General features: G+C 45.9%; 1 protein-coding gene across 6 annotated transcripts in view; it reads left to right on the top strand.

Moving 5' to 3' along the window:
* Positions 1–20,054, top strand: part of RUSC2 (RUN and SH3 domain containing 2) — a 71,785-nt gene that overhangs the window by 39,096 nt on the left and 12,635 nt on the right. For 2 of the 6 annotated variants that reach the window (NM_014806.5, XM_047424208.1), the window contains exon 2: positions 17,224–19,329. The exons of 1 other annotated variant lie outside the window; for it this stretch is intronic. In NM_014806.5, coding sequence (NP_055621.2) covers positions 17,316–19,329 — 2,014 coding nt within the window. In that variant the 5' untranslated portion in view covers positions 17,224–17,315. Of the gene's footprint in view, positions 1–8,750; positions 9,903–17,223; positions 19,330–20,054 lie in introns of those variants that run through there. 3 more of the 6 variants (XM_047424207.1, NM_001135999.2, NR_052015.4) reach the window with 3 other exon arrangements.

Genomic DNA, 20,054 nt, shown 5'->3' on the forward strand with positions numbered 1-20,054 from the left:
TTCTGGGGCAAGAGTTGGCAAACTCAGATGCCTTATAGGAGCCAGACAAATAATGCAAATAAGTAAAATGAACCAGTGAAGCTGCCATGAGGAGTGCTGGGAACACGGCAAACTGAAGGTCACGTGCTCATCTAATGAAGGGAACCACTTCTCAGCTCCAGCTGATTGTTAGTCATGTAGGAATGAGGGCCTAGTGTAGCCAGTTCTTTTGGTTTTTTTTCAAGCAAAACAAGCTGGAAATCTAGATTTTTTTCTAGAAATCCCCAAAATGTTTATGGTGGCATTTTTACTATGCAAAGCACATAAAACCTATTGACATACTAGATGTGACAGTCAGTCTGTCACTTTGCAGCCTTTGCTAATGTTTATGATGGCATTTTTACTGTGCAAGCCACGTAAACCTATTGACACACTAGATGTGACAGTCAGGCTGGCACTTTGCAACCTTTACAGCCTTTGCTCCAGGGTCATGACTGGATATAAATGGGAGGGAATGTACTGACTGAAGACATATCTGCTCAGTCATGTTTCCATCCTCAGAATGAGCATGGTGTGTAATGAAGGGTTTAAGATCTTGGCATTAAAGATTTATTTATTAAGCACTTTACTAAGGCTCAGCTTTCAGTTTTTCTTCTTCCTTACCTTCTTCTTCTTCATCAAATATGCTGTTCTCAGAAGAGACTGACCTTCTCAAAGCCAGCTGGGCTCCATTTAGCCTGCTGTGCTTGCCATCCATTCAGTAGCTTTGTTTTTGTTTGTTTTTGAGACTGGGCCTTGTTCTGTTGTCCAGGCTTGAGGGCAGTGGCACAATCTCCACTCACCGCAACCTCTGCTTCCCGGCCTCAAGCCTTCCTCCCACCTCAGTCTCCCAAGTAGCTAGGACTACAGGTGCACACCAGCACACCCAGCTAATTTTTGTATTTTTTGTAGAGACGGGGTTTCACCATGTTGCCGAGGCTGGTATCAACTCATAAGCTCAAGCAATCCGTCCACCTCAGCCTCCCAAAATGCTGGGATTACAGGTGTGAGCCACCCTACCTGGCCAGCCATTCAGTAGCTTTATCAAACATCATTGGTCCTCCACTATGTGCCAAGGCCCTGTGCTCAGAATTACCTATCAATGTATAAGACACAGCTCCACCATCTAGAAATGTACCGTCATCAAGAGATAATAAAATGGCCAAGTCTTGATACCAAATGAGTTGTACGTATAATTGGTATTGAAGTATAGGAGAAGGATTTCCATGATAAAGAAAAGCTTCCAGATATGGTAGAATTTGAGCCACATCCTTAAAATGAAGGGTGGGAGGGAATGGGGAAAACAATCCAGATATCTTCCCAGTGAGTAAAGCCAAAACTCAGAGTATATTCGGCATGTGACGGGAATGGGGTTGGATAGGTAGAAAGGAATTTTGGGGGTTTTTTGGTTGTTTTTTGTTTCTGTTTTTTATGAGACTGGGTCTCACTCTGTCGCCCAGGCTGGAGTACAGTGGTGCGATCTCTGCTCACTGCAACCTCTGCCTCCTGGGTTCATGTGATTATCCTGCCTCAGCCTCCCAAGCAGCTGGGATTACACACACACACCACCACACCTGGCTAATTTTTGTATTTTTGTAGAGACAGGGTTTCACCACGTTGGCCAGGCTGGTCTCGAAATCCTGACCTCAAGTGATCTGCCTGCCTCAGCCTCCCAAAGTGCTGGGATTACAGGTGTGAGCCACTGCGCCTGGCTGGTAGAAAGGAACTTTGAACGCCACATTAAAGAATTTGGGGCTGGGAGCAGTAGCTCATGCCTGTAATCCCAGCACTTTTGGAGGCCGAGGCGGGTGGATCACGAGGTCAGGAGATGGAGACCATCCTGGCTAACATGGTGAAACCCCGTCTCCACTAAAAAATACAAAAAAATTAGCCGGGCTTGGTGTCGGGTACCTGTAGTCCCAGCTACTCGGGAGGCTGAGGCAGGAGAATGGCATGAACCTGGGAAGCGGAGCTTGCAGTGAGCTGAGATCGCACCACTGCAGTCCAGCCTGGGCGACAGAGCAAGACTCTCTCTCAAAAAAAAAAGAATTTGGATTTATCCTGTAGGCAGCAGGGAGCCACTGAAGATGTTTTAGTAGTAGAGTGACTTGCTGAAGGAAGTTGAGGAGATTACCCTTGTGCCTGTATATGTGATAGCTGGGAACCAAGAGACAACGAAGGTAAGAAAACTAGTTAGAAGACTATATAATTCAGAGGAGAGGTAATACAGGCCTGAATTTGGAGGATAGAGTAGGGATAGGAACTGGAGAGGCAATAGAGGAAGTGGTTAAGAATACTGACTCTGGAATCAGACAGGTCTTTATCTGAGTCCCAGCTTAGACATTTACTGACTGAGTTACATTGGGAAGATTATTTAATATCCCTGAGCCTCAGATTTCTCATTCATGAAGTAAGGATAATAACATTTAGCTTAGAGAGTGGTTATATGGATTAAATGAGATAATGTAAGTAAGTGTTTAGCATAGTAGCGGAAACATAGTAAAAACAGGAAATTGTTGGGCTGGGCGTGGTGGTTCACGCCTGTAATCCCAGCACTTTGGGAGGCCAAGGCAGGCGGATCACGAGGTTAGGAGACTGAGATCATCCTGGCTAACACAGTGAAACCCCTCCTCTACTAAAAATACAAAAAAATTAGCCAGGCGTGGTGGCGGGCGCCTGTAGTCCCAGCTACTCGGGAGACTGAGGCAGGAGAATGGTGTGAACCCGGGAGGCAGAGCTTGCAGTGAGCAGAGATCATGCCACTGCACTCCAGCCTGGGCAACAGAGCAAGACTCTGTCTAAAAACAAAACAAAAAGAAATTAAGTCAATGCCCGAAACATTGGAAGGAAGACTCAGCATGACTTGGTAGTTGTCTGAATGTAAAGAGAGTCCAGATGACTCTTATTTTCAAGTTTGTGTTACAGGCAGTCCAAAGAGACCTAATTTGAAATTTTAAAAATCGATTTGGTTTTCGATATGTTGAATTTGAGGTAATAATAAGTATCTGATAGGCTATTGGAGATTTGATTCTGGAAGTTCAGGAAGAATGTAAGATTTGGAAATCAACGGCAAAGGTAATGGGAAGTACTAAAGACTGTTCAGATTGAAAAGTCTTCAGATCTGAACCTTGCTGTAAATTTGCATTTAAATATGGGCCAGGTATTGTTTTATTAAACAACGAAGAAAGAATTATCTAAGAAGTAGAACTAGGAGGATTGGTTTATAGAAGACAAAAGGGGTTGGGTTTGATGGCACATGCCTATAATCTCAGCACTTTGCAAGGCCGAGGTGGGCAGATCACTTGAGCTCAGGAGTTCAAGACCAGCCTGGCCAACATGGTGAAACCCCATCTCTACCAAAACCACAAAAATATAGCTGGGTGTGGTGGCATGCACCTGTAATCCCAGCTACTTGGGAGGCTGAGGAACGAGAATCACTTTAACCTGGGAGGTGGAGGTTACAGTGAGCCAAGATCAGCCACTGCATTCCAGCCTGGGTGACAGAGCGAAACTGTCTTAAATGTCTCAAAAAAAAAAGCCAAAGGGAAAAGAGGAGTTGAATAGGAAAGGATGACTGCTGATAGTGTTGGATGATTCCAATATTATAAGTTAAAAATGATAACTGCTTCACACACTTCAAATGTTATTAGAAAAAAGATTTCTGGTGGTTAAGAAACAATGAAGGAGAGAGTGGAGAGAGAATTTTAAGAGTCCATTTGTTAAGGAATTTTGGTGTCGAGGCTGGGTGTGGTGGCTCACGCCTGTAATCCTAGCACTTTGGGAGGCCTAGGCGAGCAGATCACTTAAGCTCAGGAGTTCGAGACCAGCCTGGGCAACATGGCGAAACCCCATCTCTACTAAAAAATACAAAAATTAGCCAAGCATAGTGGCGCATGCCTGTAATCCCAGCTACTCGAGAGGCTGAGGCACGAGAATCGCTTGAACCCAGGAGGCGGAGGTTGCAGTGAGCCGAGATCGTGCCACTGCACTCCAGCCTGGGTGACAGAGCGAGACTCTGTCTCAAAAAAAAAAAAAAGAAGAATTTGGTGTTGAAAAAAGAAAGAGAGGACTATCTGACGTCCTTGGATTGACATGCAGTGATAGCCTCTGCTTTCTGGTACCCTGATATTCCACCTCTCACCCATACCCCCAGTTATGGGGTTCTCAAAGACTTCAGTCTCTGTGGAGCTGAGCAACACCACTCAAGCTCCTACAGCAACTGCCACTGTTTTTAACAGCTTTATTGAAATATAATTGACATACCATACATTTTGCCATTTAAAGTATACAATTCAATTGTTTTAGTATATTCACAGTTGTGCAACTATGACTGTAGTCTAATTTTGGAACATTTCATCATTCCCAAAAGAAACCCCACACCCATTAGCAGGCACTCCCCATCTCTCTGCCTCTCCAGCCTCTGGCAGCCACTGATCTACTTTTTGTCTCTATAGATTTGCCTTGTCTGGACATATCATGTAAATGGAATGAAACAATATGTGACCTTCTGTGTTTCTTCTTTCACCTAGCATGTTTTCAAGGTTCATCCATGTTGGAGCATTTATCAGGACTTCATTCCCTTTTATTGCTCAATAATAATTCATTGTGTGTACCACCTTTTATTTATCCCTTCTTCTGTTGATGAACATTTTGGTTGCTCCTAGTTTTTGACTATCATGAATAATGCTACTAGGAATACTCATATACAAGCTTCTGTGTGGATGTTTTTTGTTTCTCGTAGGTATATACCTAGAAGCAGAATTGCTGGGGTCAAATAGTAACTCTTTAACTTTTTGAGAAACTGCCAGAACTCTTTTCCAAAGTGGTTGCACCATTTTACAGTGCCCTCAGCAATGTGTGAGGGTTCCAATTTCTACACATCATTGTCAACATGTGTGATTGCCTGCCTTTTTTTATTTTAGCCATTCTAGTGGGGTCAAGTAGTATCTCACTTTAGTTTTGATTTGTACTGCCTAATGATTAATGATGTTAAGCATTTGTTTATATAAGTACTTGTTGACCATTTGTGTGTCTTCTTTGGGGAAATGTTTATTCAAATCCTTTGCCCAGCCAGGCATGGTGGCTCATGCCTGTAATCCCAGCACTTTGGGAAGCCGAAGCAGGAGGATCACTTGAGCTCAGGAGTTTTGGACCAGCCTGGGCAACAGAGTGAGACCCCCATCTCTACAAATAATACACACACACACACACACACACACACACACACACACACAATCCTTTGCTCGTTTTTATTTATTTACTTATTTATTTTTTTGAGACAGGTTCTCACTCTGTCACCCAGGCTGGAGTGCAGGGGTGCGATCTCAGCTCACTGCAACCTCTGCCTCCCAGGTTCAAGCACCTCTTGTGCCTTAGCCTCCCGAGTAGCTGGGATTACAGGTGTGCACCATCACACCCAGCTAATTTTTGTATTTTTTTGGTAGAGACAGGTTTTGCCATGTTGGCCAGGCTGGTCTCGAACTCCTGACCTGAAGTGATCTGCCTGCCTTGGCCTCCCAAAGCTCTGGGATTACAGGTGTGAGCCACCATGCCTGGCCCCCTTTGCCCATTTAAAAATTGGATTGTCTTTTTATTACTGAGTTGTAAGTGTTTTTAAATATATTCTGGATAGAAATCCCTTATCAGATATATGATCTGCAAATTTTCTCACATTCTGTGGGTTTTCTTTTGACTATCTTGATTGTGTCCTTTGAAGAACAAAAGTTTTAAATTTTTATGAAGTCAGTTTATGTTTTTTTTTTTATTTTTTCATTTTGCCAGCAGGAAGTCAAAGTTTTTCTGTTTTTTTCTTTTGTCACTTGTATTTTTGATATCATGTCTAAGAATGTGTTGCCTAACCCTAGGTTATGAAGAATTACTTCTTTGTTGCCTAAGCTTCTTTTTTTTAGATATGGAGTGTCACTCCTGTTGCTCAGTCTGGAGTGCAATGGTGCAATCTCGGCTCACTGAAACCTCCACCTCCTGAGTTCAAGTGATTCTCCTGCCTCAGCCTCCCGAATAGCTGGGGTTACAGGTGCCCACCACCACACCCCGCTAATTTTTGTATTTTTAGTAGAGACAAGGTTTCACCATGTTGGCCAGGCTGGTCTTGAACTCCTGACCTCAGGTGATCTGCCCGCTTCGGCCCCCCAAAGTGCTAGGATTACAGGCATTAGCCACCGCTCCCGGCCGCCTAAGCTTCTTTTTGATAGATTTTTTTTTTTTTCACATGGAAAACAGTCTTCTCTTTCAAGCCTATTGAGTCAAGTCTACCCACCACTTATTCTGATTTACACACAAGGAGCTTCTCTTTTTTTTTTTTTTTTTTTTGAGACGGAGTCTCTTGCTCTGTAGCCCAGGCTGGAGTGCAGTGGCGCCATCTTGGCTCACTGCAAGCTCTGCCTCCTGGGTTCACGCCATTCTCCTGCCTCAGCTTGCTGAGTAGCTGGGACTCCAGGCGTCCACCACCACGCCCGGCTAATTTTTTTTGTATTTTTAGTAGAGACGGAGTTTCACTGTGTTAGCCAGGATGGTCTCAATCTCCTGACCTCGTGATCTGCCCGCCTCGGCCTCTCAAAGTGCTGGGATTACAGGCATGAGCCACCGTGCCCGGCCAAGCATCTCTTTTTAGATTATTCTTGTTCAACAAGACTTCCATATGCCAAGCATAAGACACCTTCTATATGCCAAGCAGTATGCTAGGTTTTATGGGAAATACAAAATTAAAATGATATTCTTATATACTGGATAATGGAGATGTACAGATGACTATAACTCCGACTTTGCAGTCTAGAAGAGATGTTAAGGCAGATATGCAAAAAAGAACAATAACCATGTTAAGTGACATGATTTACTTAATCAAAACTTCTCAGGGACCGATGCTATTGCTGATGAAGTTTGCCATCAATATGCAATGCAATGAGAAAGTACAGTATGCTTTTTCTTATAAAATGATGATCATCAAAGTAAAGTTTTTTGTAATGATCCTACTTGACAATATAAGAAGTTGGCAATCCAATATTGATCCCCGTTTTTTGTGGAAGTTGTTTTCTTGTCTGTAAAATCAACAACCTGCAACCACTGGTTCGGAGAACAGATTATTTCTGGCTCTGGGGTAATCAGAGAAGACTTGATGGAGGAGTTGCTCTGGGTCTGGTAGGTTTGGATAATTTTGAACAGGGCCAAGTGTAACAGGAAGGAGAGTCTGAATGAACAAATACAACAGAGTGGAAATGAGTTTCTGAAACATGTTTCAAGGACTGCATGATGGGAAGGCAAGGTTGAGTGGAGTAGAGTAGACAGCCAAGGCTGGGCACGGTGGCTCACACCTGTAATCCCAGCACTTTGGGAGGCTGAGGCGGGTGGATCACCTGAGGTCAGGAGTTCAAAACAAGCCTGGCCAACATGGCAAAACCCCGTCTCTTCTAAAAGTAAAAAACTTAGCCGGGGCATGGTGGCAGGTGCCTGTAATCCCAGCTACTCGGGAGGCTGAGACAGGAGAATCACTTGATCCTGGGAGACAGAGGTTGCAGTGAGCCAAGATCGCGCCACTGCACTCCAGCCTGGATGACAAGAGTGAAACTCAAAAAAAAAAAAAAAAAAAAAAGAATAGACAGCCGAGATGGATGACCTCTAAAGCCAAAATGAGGAGGCTCAACTTGATTCTCTGGGTAATGAGAAACCATTAAAAGGGGCAGGAGGAGTGGCATGTTGAAGAAAGGTGGTGCTTTAGGGAGATGAATCTGGTAGTACTAAAAAGTAAATTGCAAGTGGGGAGACTAGTTAGGTGGCCGAGGTTTATAATGTAACAGTATTTGTGTTTTGTTTCTGGCTGGAAAATAATTTGATCTTTCCTCAAAACCCTAGATCTTTGGCAGTAGTGGTTAGGAAGTAAGTGGCAAGGTTGTCTGTGATGTAGTGAATTAAGCCAAGCACTAGAGGTCTGAGAGCTGCCACCTTCCATAGGCAACTGGAAGCACTGGCTGTCCAGCACAATGCATGACTTAGCCTCGCAGAAATTTCAGAGTCAAAGACCCTGGGCCCAGAGCTCTCATGGTAAGAGGCTCGAACTCCAAACGCTTGGTCATGAAGATTCACTCTGCCCTAACCTACAGATGCTTATCCAACCCCGCTTTGTGGTATCAGCTAGGCGAGAGGAAAGCATAGTGACACCATTTCCTCACCTTTCAGCCTCCTTGAGATGACCGCTAATGGTTGGCTATGAACAGCAGCCTCCCTCCTTCCTTCCTTTCCTCACTGTTTCTTGCTTTATAGGATCAAGGGGCCATGGCTGCTCAAACAAGTCAAGGCTGGAGATGGGTCTTTGTGTCTTTGTGTGTTTTTGTTCTTCTCTCTACAATTGACTCAGCTCAGCATGGTGTCAGTGGACACATGGGTGTCACAGGGAATAGGAGAAACAAGAAAGGAAAAGAAAAGTTACATCTCTTCTGGATCCTGAGGGATAGCTGTTATGGTCTTGGCCAGTGGTTTCTCCAAAGGCTTCTTTCTAAGGACCTGAAATCCAAGGGCAGGCTGTGGAGTCCAGATAGTAGTCACCTTGGGAGGAACCCTAGGCAGGGCTAGTGTTTGGGGACCAAGCCCTGCTTAAGACTATCTCTGTGTTCAAGCGTAGCAGCAGGGAGCAGTGGCACAAAGTGGACGGAGACCTCACCGCTACTTCCTGTACAACTGGCTCTAGCTGCAGTTTCTCCCTTTTTTCCTTATTCCCACAGAATTGGCCCAGAACCTGAGGAGGCTGGAGCAGGGAAGGAGCAGAGGACTCTGTAGGTCTCCAGGCAGAACTGAGATTTTTCTGTGGCCTAGGAGAGACCACTCCCTGTTCCCTGCCTTCCTTTCCCTGGGGAGATAAGCTTCCTGGCCTCTCAGCCTGGCTAGAGGGATTCTGCCTTCACACAAACCCAGCTGGACCCAGCTGAGCACTGACCGAGAACTGATGTATGTGAGAGGGGCCAGTTCTACTTCAGCCACAGCGAGTAGACCTCTGAAGACCCAGGGAACTGAATTGAATACCGTGTTAGGAAGAGGGCCTGCAGCCTCCATGGTCCTTAAGACTTACCACCACCCAGTGTACAGAAGCCTGTCTACCGCCCCGTCTCTCTAGGAAGGCCAGTGCTAAGACTCGTGGGCCATCCACCAGGACTGAGTTCGAGTTACTGCTGGCAGAATGGTGACTGGTCCCTGCAGCCTCCCTTCTGGGCTTCAGGAATCCCCTCCCAGGCTGACTGCCCCACCCTGAGGCTAGTCTGGAATCCTGGTTAGAGGAAAAAGCTGGAAAACAGAGTCATTCACAATGGGCAAAAAGAGGAGGGAGAGGTTTCTGGTTAAGATATGAAAGGAGGAGCCTAAAGAAGGAAGGAAGGAAGGAAGCTCCAAGGCTCTGCCCAGACATCTTCCCTGAGATGCCTAAGGACAAAAGAGGAGCTAGACACAACTCTCCCCATTTTTCCTTTGCTGTCTTAAGAGTGCTCCATCTTCCAGCACTGACTGCCCTCTGTGGCTGGCTCCTTTCTCTACCCTCCCCCTTCCCTAGGCTAAAGGGCCCACAGGGGCTGGAAGGGAGGGAGGCTGAGTGGCTGTGCTGTGGGCCTGCCTGCTCCTTTCCCTTCCCCCTTCCCTTAGCAGCAACGTCACCGCAGCACCAGCAGCCGCGGCAGCAGCACGGAGACTGGGGCTGGGATTGCGCAGCCTCCCTGCATTAGCAACGATGCCATTGTATTAGCAGAAATCAGATCTTAGGAAATCGGCCCAGTTCCCCTGTGTGATCCCGTGGAACAGTGTCTCAGCTGGAACTGTCGCGGTAGAGCTTGGTCGGAGTGCAAAAGGGACAGACGCATCAGGGGTCCAGCTCAAGGCTCCTGACAGAGGTATGGCTCAGGGAGCTGGGGGAGGGGCAGGGCAGAGATGCTAGGATACCGATCAGCACATTTGGGCCCTGGCTTCTGAGGGTTGGCTTTGTCTTTCCAAAAGGGAGAGGGGGGCGGTGCGGGGGGGGATAAAGGGGGGAACATGCGGAAGCACAAGCATTAGACAAGCTCATTGCATACATTTGGGCTATGGTGCAGAGATGGGGAAAAGCCAAGGCTTGGGCTAATGCCATTTATGCTATTTTGTCAAGAAGCAGATCTCATCCTTCCTTTTTGGGCATTTCTAATGAAGCTTCTAGTATGGGTCAGGGATGGGGGAGTCAGATCTAGAAACAAAGGCTTAATAGGAGGAGACACCCCTACAGCTACTGTAAGTTTATGATGGAGAACATGCAAGGATCCTCGCAGCTTTCAAGAGGAGGGCTGGGAAACCTTTCTCTCCACACACACACATACATACATACATGCATGCATGCATGCACATAGCTATACATGCACATAGACACACATACCATATCTTCTGGTGCTATGGGAGCCACCAGGCTCCAGGTAAGGGTGGAGTAAGAAAACATTGACCAGGGTGCCCCACAGTGTCTGGCAGGGGCAGGGACAGTCATTGTAATGCCTAGGGCACCTGATCTGTTACAGTAAGCCTTCAAGAAGAGACCTAAGCATAAGCTAACACTCCCAAATCTACCCTCCTGCCCTCCTCCCTTTGATCCTACCCAGGAGAGGACCAGTCAGGAAAAGCGTTATCAGTCCTACAGAGGCACCTTATCAGGATCTCAAGTCAAGGTCAGATTGCTAGAGAAGAGCAATTGAAGACCATTGTGTTCCCCATCTTTATTCAGAAGGCCAAAAAAGAGGGAAGGGGTTCTATGACTGGCAGAAAGACACTGATGACCAAAGCTAGAGGAAACCTTCTTTCTGGGGTTTTCCCGCCCAGAGTTGCTCCATTGCTGAGCAGGTAGAAAGAGTTCCCTAAATTCCCATTTCCACACCTGTAATCCCAGCACTTTGAGAGGCTGGGATGGGAGGATCACTTGAGCCTAGGAGTTGAGACCAGCCTGGGCAACATGGTGAAACCCTGTCTCTACAAAAAATTTAAAAATTAGCCAGGCATTGTGGTGTGCACCTGTAGTCCCAGCTACTAAGGAGGCTGGGTGGGAGGATCACTTGAGCCCAGGAGTTCAAGGTGCAGTGAGCTATGATCGCATCACTGCACTGTAGCCTAAGCAACAAAGCTAGACTCTGTCTGTAAAAAATAATTGTAAAAAAATTCCCATTTCTAATAACCACCTTGGTAGAGGGTTCAAAAACATAGGATAATAGGAGACAGTAGTGCCATGTTGTGCAACTATATGGTTAAGGAATATGCTGGATAGTTATGGGAGTGTATTTGTTCCCAGGAAGTGTCTAGGAATGTGAACCACAAGAGCAGGGAATAATGAGCCTTGAGACCATGAATGGGGCAGGGAGATGAGGGCTGGGAACTGGGGCAGGAGGTGGGATTGGCAAGTGTTATCATAGCCTGGGGACAGTATGAAAGGGACTGTAGGTTCATAGAATAGAGAGGCCGGTAGACATAACCTGTGTAAATGGAGGCTGAAATGTGGGTCTACCCAGGACAGGTAGGAAGCAGATGCTCTGGGAGCAGAGTAATTGCAAGGACTTTAGGAAGAGGGTGTGGCCCCAATCATTTTCTTTGGAAGGCCGTTGTAGTGGAAATAATTACAAATTGGGCAGACCTGGGATTGAATCCCATCTCAGATGTGTAAATGTGGACAAACTACTTACACACTCTAAGCTTTGGTTTTCTCATCTTTACAATGGGAAGGATTATGCCTACTTAAAAATGTTACAGTACATTTAGAGATGATATATATAAATTAATGGCACATAAGTGTTTAATAAATGATCACTTATAGTATTATAATAGGACAAGAGACACCCATTTGGGACAAGGGCCAGGAAAAGGGCTCTCATAGAAAGCTTTTCCTGATTTTGGAGAGCATGACCTCATAACTTTATACTGGCTGAGCCCACCATTCCACTCTACCTGGTAGGCATAGCTAGAGGGCTCATCTTCTGAAAGAGCTGTCTTCTACTTTCTTCTTATTCTGGATCCTCTGTTTCTCCCCCATCCTCATCTTCCATGTCTCTCCATTTAGTCAGGGCAGAAAAAGTCTGAAATGAGCTCTTCCAGCTCACTGTTTTCTCTTCACCTTCATTAGAGGGGATGGGCCACTTGTCTTGATGTAGAAAAAGTCACTCCCAGGAAAGGAGCCTGAGATACGCTCTCAGTAAATGTTCTCTGTGGTGTCATATGTACAGTTTACTCTCATTTTTTTTTTTTAAGACAGACTCTCGCTTTGTCGCCCAGGCTGGAGTGCAGTGGCACGATCTCGGCTCACTGCAACCTCCGCCTCCTGGGTTCAAGTAATTCTCCTGCCTCAGCCTCCCAAGTAGCTGGGATTACAGGAGCGTGCCACCACACCCAGCTAATTTTTGTATTTTCAGTAAAGACAGGGTTTCACCATGTTGGCCAGGATGTTCTCAATCTCTTGACCTCATGATCCACCTGCCTCAGCCTCCCAAAGTGCTGGGATTACAGGTGTGAGCCCCCATGCTAGGTCTACTCTCATTATATTCTTAACTGACCAAGAAAAAAGATCAAAAGTTAGGATTCCTGAGTCTCATCTTAATTCTGTTATTTATTCACTGAGTGGTCTTGGGCAAGTCATTTCATTTTTCTGGGTGTATAATTATTTTAAAATTTTTATATATATAAAATTTTTTTAAATTATTTTTATATCATATAACATTTTTTAAAATTTTATAAATATAAAAATAATTCCTTATTTTTAAAAATGAAGATGGCTCTGCCTCCTTTGGAAGTTGATGTAAGGATCAGTAAGATATGCATACATAAAAAGTGCCTTGTAAGTAAATGTGAATGGGGTGGGCAAAGCATGAGTACAAAATCTCATGAGATGCCTGGAGAACTTCCCCTTAGATGGCTGAATTGGAATCGTCTATGGAGGAGCCATTGCTCGGCCTTTCTCTTGGTTGTGTGGAGATCAGAAAGGAATAAGATCTTCTCTGAGATACAAAAGCATAAAATAAAATGAAATCAATCAGTGAAAGAGCTTGACAGTTAAAGTAGGATTCAATACAACCTAAATGTAAAAGCTACAACTATACAGCTTTTAGAAGAAAACATAGGTACATTTCTTTATGGTCTTAGGACAGGTAAAGATTTCTTAGGATACAGAAAGATTTAACCATAGAGAAACAAACTCTATGATCAGTTGATCAATTGATCAATTTAAATTTAATAAATTAAAAACTATTTATCAAAAAACACAGTTAAGAAAACAGGGACAAGCCACAGGCTGAGAGAAAATATTCATGAGGCATATATCTGACAGAGGACTTGTATCCAGAATAAATGTTAAAACTCCTATAATTCAATCATAAAAAGACTAACAACTCAGGTTATTTTAATGGGAAAAGTAGTCAACAAATAACCAGGCACCTACTGTGTTCCAAGCACAGAGTTCACTGTATTGCAGTCTCCAACCTCAGAACTGTGCTCCAGTCTGGGAGATAGATATGTCAACATCACATTACAATACAATTGTCAGTGCCCTCCAGCCAAGGGCTCCGTCATCTCCCACGCTCATGTGTTCTTCATCTCTGATTTAGAGAGTCAGCTTTCTGCATTCTGTATCTGTACATCAGTTTTTCCATATTAATGCATGTATGTCCTGGTAATGGTTTTGTGGCAGAATCATACATTCTTTTATGTGATACTTGTGAATGCCTCTTGAAAATGCTTTAAAAAGGAAGAAAAGGTACTCATTGAAGGTCAGTGATGGCTGCAACCCATAGGTACCCCTAAAATTACTGCTATCTATGTAAGAAAGTTCTCTATGCTCCTTTTAGTCCAGACTCGGGATTATGGCCAGGACTCCAGGGGAAACGTAGTTATGTATGAAAGGAGAAACCCCCTCAAAGAAAAAAAATTGTTTAGGCCCGGCATGGTGGCTCACATCTGTAATCCTAGCACTTTGGAAGGCCAAGGCAGGTGGATAACTTGAGCCCAAGAGTTCAAGACCAGCCTTGGCAACATGGAGAAACCATGTCTCTACAAAAAATACAGAAATTAGCCAGGCGTGGTGGCACACACCTGTGGTCCTAGCTACTCAGGAGGCTGAGGTGGATCACTTGAGTCCAAGAGGCTGAGGCTGCAGTGAGCCATGATCGCACCACTGCACTCCAGCCTCGGTGATAGAGTGAGAACCTGTCTCAAAAAAAAGAAAAAAATTGCTTAAATTATGCATAAAATGGGTATTTATTACATACAAATTAGAAAATACAGCTGAAGCAAAAAGAATAAAATTAAAAATAATCCAAATCATTCAACAGTGATAGGCACTGGTAACAGTTTGTTGCATGTTACAGATTTTCTTCTATGCATACAGACATGTTTATTTACAAAAATGGTGACAAACACCTGGCTAATTTTTGTATTTTTAGTAGAGACAGGGCTTCACCATGTTGGCCAGGCTGGTCTTGAACTCTTGACCTCAAATGATCCGCCCGCCTCAGCCTCCCAAAGTGCTGGGATTACAGGCATGAGCCACCACGCCTGGCCTGATTTCAGGACATTCTATTTCTATGGATTTGCCTATTCTGGACATTTCATATAAATGGAATCATACAACATCACAAAAGCCCTTTGTGACTGGCTTCGATTGTGCCCAATTTTTTGGCTACTGTGAATAATGCTGTTATGAACATTTGTGTACAAGCTTTAGTGTGAACATATGTTTTCATTTTTCTTGGGTATATACCCAGGAGTGCAGTTGCTGGGTCATGTGATGACACTATGTTTAACATTTTGATAAACTGTCAGACTTTTCCAAAGTAGCTGCACCATTTTACAATACTCCCGGCAATGTTTCAGGGTTCCAGTTTCTTCATATCATCATCAACATTTGCTAGTTGTTATTGTCTGTATTTCTTATTTTATCCCTCCCAGCTGGAGTGAAGTAGTATCTCATTGTGATTTTTATTACTCTAATGACTAATGATGTTGAACATCTTTTCATGTGCTGGTTAGACACTTGTATGTCTTCTTCAGAGAAATGCCTATTCATACTGTTTGCCCTGTCTTAAACTGGATCATATGTCTTTTTTTTTTTTTTTTTTTGAGACAGAGTCTCACTCTGTCACCAGGCTGGAGTGCTGTGGCATGATCTCAGCTCACTGCAACCTCTGACTCTCTAGTTCAAGCGATTCTCCTGCCTCAGCCTCCCAAGTAGCTGGGATTACAGGCATGCACTACCACGCCCAGCTAATTTTTATATTTTTAGTAGAGATGGGATTTCACCATGTCGGCCAGGATGGTCTCTGTCTCCTGACCTCATGATTCTCCCACCTCGGCCTCCCAAAGTGTTAGGATTACGGGCGTGAGCCACTGTGCCCAGCCTCGTATGTCTTTTTATTGTTGAGTTGTAAGAGTTCTTTATATATTCTGATTAGAAGTCTTTTATCAGGTATATGATTTGCAAATATTTTCTCCCATTTTATGGATTGTCTTTTCACTTTCTTGGTGGTATCCTTTGAAGCACAAAAGTTTTTGGTTCTTATGGAGTCCAATTTATGTTTTTTCTTTTGTCACTTGTGCCTTTGGTGTCATATCTAAGAAACCATCACCTAATCCAAGATAACAAAGATTTACTCCTATGTTTTCTTCTGTAACCCTTAATCTTGTAGCTCAGACTCTCTTAATATCTGCCCTTCTACATCTCTACCCATTAGCCCATTAAACACACAAAGGCTTGGAAGTTCAACAGAGGAGCCTGCCTTCCTCTCAGAAAGGGGAGGAGGAAGCAAGATTGTAAATAATTGCTGCTTAAATTTAACACAATTATATTTTAATACCTTGTCCCTTATACGTATACTTATTAGCCATATTTTTTATGCATTGTTTGTTCATGTCCTTGAGCATATGTGACTTGCCTCAGACTTTACCACATTCCACATGACGAGCTATGACCCTATGGTCTACATGAGTTAAATTTTAAGAAATTGATTGTGTCAAGGATTCAGTTAAATGATGAATAAGAGAAAGGCAATGAGGGATTTAGACTCAGGGTGAGTGAAAAGGAAATGATAGGAATAAAAAGAGAAAGGAAATGAATGAATTTTGGAACATTACATGTGAGGAGTCGAAGGGAATGAAGACTGTTGCGACCTGAACGTGGAAACACAGGAGACTAGAACTTGAGCAGGCCACACTGCCACGGTGCAGCCAAGAGACCAGAGAAGCTCAGGATGGGTTCTGTGTCCTTGGCACCAGGAGACCTTGAACAAGAGAGAACTTTGCTTTAGCCTATAAGAGGTAAAACTGGGAAGAGAAGACTTTCTAGTGGATCCCAGTAGTGAAGGTTCTAAGCTAAAACTGGGCAGCATTTGGGCACTTCAGGATGTCTGTATCCTGAGCTAGACGCATGTTAAGAATGTATTATGCCTTTCACGTTTATCTTGTGTGATGTGTTAGAATGATACAAAAGACATAAAACTAGGTCCCCCCACCCCCATTGAGGAGGAAGAGGTTGACATCAGTCATACTTGCAGTCACCCTAATGCCCAACTCAGTGTCTGCATTCAAGAAGTTCTAGTATAGTAGTGAGGATAGTAAGGATACTTAGCCCACGGTCATCAGAAAGGGACAAATATTCTGGGGCTTGTAGGACGAGAAAGGGGATCAGAGATAACAGTCACTTGGTCAGATGATACCGTATATTTTAAAATGCTTCTTGCAAAATTATAGCTTATTGCTATGAGTTCATATTATTCATGATTTTCCCTCTTGGCTGTAAACTTGTGTGCTATAGCTGTGTCTAAGCCTTAAACATCCTAGATGGTTTTTTCTTAATTGTGTCATTATTCATAGTTTTTTTGTGCTAAGGACTGGTCATTGTTTACTGCCAAGGAGAGGGTCCTTGAAAGAGAAAGGGAAAGTACTGCCCAAACCTTCATATGTGGCATTAGAAGGACTTGGCCTTTTGTCATAATTTGATGCATAGTGACCTTAAAATTAAGGGGGACCTCAGGTGCTGCACCTGTGCAATGCAGAAAGCATGGTTACGTCCCCACCTGCCTATTGGGCTGTGTGGTCAAGCTCCATCTTGACTCAAGCCTTTTCTCTTCCTGGGCTCTTCTCCATCTGAAAATGATGTAGGGAAGGGCATGCCCCTGACTTCCAGGGAGGTGACATTAGGTTCCCTTTCTTTCCCTCTCTCTCCAGGTGCCAAGCTCTCCTGATGAAATGTGTTCTGCCCCACTGGGCTCCAGGGACAGTGTCTGGTGCTGTTGAAGCCCTTATTCGAACTTTCCAGAATGGATAGTCCCCCAAAGCTGACTGGAGAGACCCTCATCGTTCATCACATCCCCCTGGTGCACTGCCAAGTCCCAGACAGGCAGTGCTGTGGAGGGGCAGGTGGAGGTGGTGGGAGCACAAGACCTAATCCCTTCTGCCCACCTGAGCTGGGCATCACCCAGCCCGATCAAGACCTAGGACAAGCTGACTCCCTGCTATTCAGCAGCCTGCACTCTACTCCAGGAGGAACTGCACGGTCTATAGACAGCACCAAGAGTAGGAGTCGGGATGGAAGAGGCCCTGGAGCCCCCAAACGACACAACCCCTTCTTGCTGCAGGAGGGTGTGGGTGAGCCAGGACTTGGTGACCTGTATGATGACAGCATTGGTGACAGTGCCACCCAGCAGTCCTTCCACCTGCATGGCACTGGCCAGCCCAACTTTCATCTATCCTCTTTCCAGCTGCCACCATCTGGCCCCAGAGTGGGCAGGCCATGGGGGACAACACGCAGTCGGGCTGGAGTGGTGGAAGGGCAGGAACAGGAGCCAGTGATGACCTTGGATACTCAGCAGTGCGGCACCAGCCACTGCTGCCGGCCAGAGCTGGAAGCAGAGACTATGGAGCTGGATGAGTGTGGGGGACCTGGTGGGAGTGGCAGTGGGGGTGGAGCCAGCGATACCTCTGGCTTTTCCTTTGACCAGGAATGGAAGCTCAGTTCAGATGAATCCCCAAGGAACCCTGGATGCTCCGGCTCAGGGGACCAGCACTGCCGCTGCAGTAGCACATCCAGTCAGTCCGAGGCAGCTGACCAGTCCATGGGCTATGTGAGCGACTCCTCCTGCAACAGTTCAGATGGTGTGCTGGTCACCTTCAGCACCCTCTACAACAAGATGCATGGCACCCCCCGTGCCAATCTCAACTCTGCCCCACAGTCCTGCAGCGACTCTTCCTTCTGCAGCCACTCAGACCCTGGCGCCTTCTATCTGGATCTGCAGCCCTCCCCATTTGAGTCTAAGATGTCTTATGAGTCCCATCACCCTGAAAGTGGAGGAAGGGAAGGGGGCTATGGTTGCCCTCATGCCTCTTCTCCTGAGCTTGATGCCAACTGCAACTCCTACCGCCCACACTGTGAGCCGTGCCCAGCAGTGGCTGACCTCACAGCCTGCTTCCAAAGCCAGGCCCGTCTTGTTGTGGCCACACAAAATTACTATAAACTTGTCACCTGTGACCTATCTTCCCAATCATCCCCAAGCCCTGCTGGCTCTTCCATCACTAGCTGCTCTGAGGAACACACCAAGATAAGTCCCCCACCAGGCCCTGGCCCAGACCCAGGCCCCAGCCAGCCCTCTGAGTATTACCTATTCCAGAAGCCAGAAGTCCAGCCAGAGGAACAAGAAGCAGTGAGTTCCTCCACCCAAGCAGCAGCTGCTGTGGGCCCCACTGTGCTTGAGGGACAAGTATACACGAATACTTCACCCCCCAACCTCAGCACTGGACGTCAGCGCTCCCGCAGCTATGATCGCAGCCTGCAGCGCAGCCCTCCTGTCCGCCTGGGCTCGCTGGAACGTATGTTGAGTTGCCCAGTGCGCTTGAGTGAGGGCCCTGCAGCCATGGCCGGGCCTGGCTCCCCACCCAGGAGGGTCACCTCCTTTGCCGAGCTGGCCAAGGGCCGGAAGAAAACTGGAGGCTCTGGCTCGCCCCCACTTCGTGTGAGTGTTGGGGACTCCTCCCAGGAGTTCTCACCCATCCAAGAAGCCCAGCAAGATCGGGGGGCCCCACTGGATGAGGGCACTTGCTGTAGCCATAGCCTGCCACCCATGCCTTTGGGGCCAGGCATGGACCTACTTGGCCCAGACCCAAGTCCACCCTGGTCCACCCAGGTCTGTCAGGGACCCCACTCCAGTGAGATGCCTCCTGCTGGCCTCAGAGCTACTGGGCAAGGCCCCCTGGCTCAGCTGATGGATCCAGGGCCTGCTCTCCCAGGGAGCCCAGCCAACAGCCATACCCAGAGGGATGCAAGAGCTAGAGCTGACGGTAAGGAGCCTAAGGGTTAGCAAATATGTGGCTATTCACCAGCAGGATATGCATGGCCACCTCCCTGACAGGTCCCTGCCAGACCACCCCATCCATACCACTAGAGGTTCCACATCCTAGATCTGTTATCCTTCTAGGCCAGGGCAGGACCCACAGCTACAGTGGAATAGGCTCACTGGAGAAAGACAGAGGACTCAAAAATACACTGAGCAGACTGGGTGCAGTGACTCACACCTGTGATCCCAGCCCTTTGGGAGGCCAAGCCAGGCGAATCACTTGAGGTCAGGAGTTTGAGACCAGCCTGGCCAACATAATGAAACCCCAGCTCTACTAAAATAAAAAATAAACTAGCCAGGAGTGGTAGCACCCACCTGTAATCCCAGCTACTCAGGGGGCTGAGGCAGGAGAATTGCTTGAACCCAGGAGGTGGAGGTTGCACTGAGCTGAGATCATACCACTGCACTCCAGCCTGGGCAGACAGAGTGAGATTCTGTCTCAAAAAAAAAAAATAAATAAATACACTGAGGAGATAAAATCAGCAGGACTTAGAGGCTGACATATTGGGAAATGAAGGATTCAGAAGACTGATTCTGAACCTGGATGATGGGAAAGATGAGGCCATGGATAGGGGCTGTAATCACAGGAGATTTCCTGGAAGAAAAGTTCAGGTTCAGACCTTTAGGAGTTTGCAGTGCCTAAGGGGCAACCAAGGGATATGTCTAACA

This window comes from Homo sapiens, chromosome 9 (assembly GCF_000001405.40).
Source record: "Homo sapiens chromosome 9, GRCh38.p14 Primary Assembly".
NCBI lineage: Eukaryota > Metazoa > Chordata > Mammalia > Primates > Hominidae > Homo > Homo sapiens.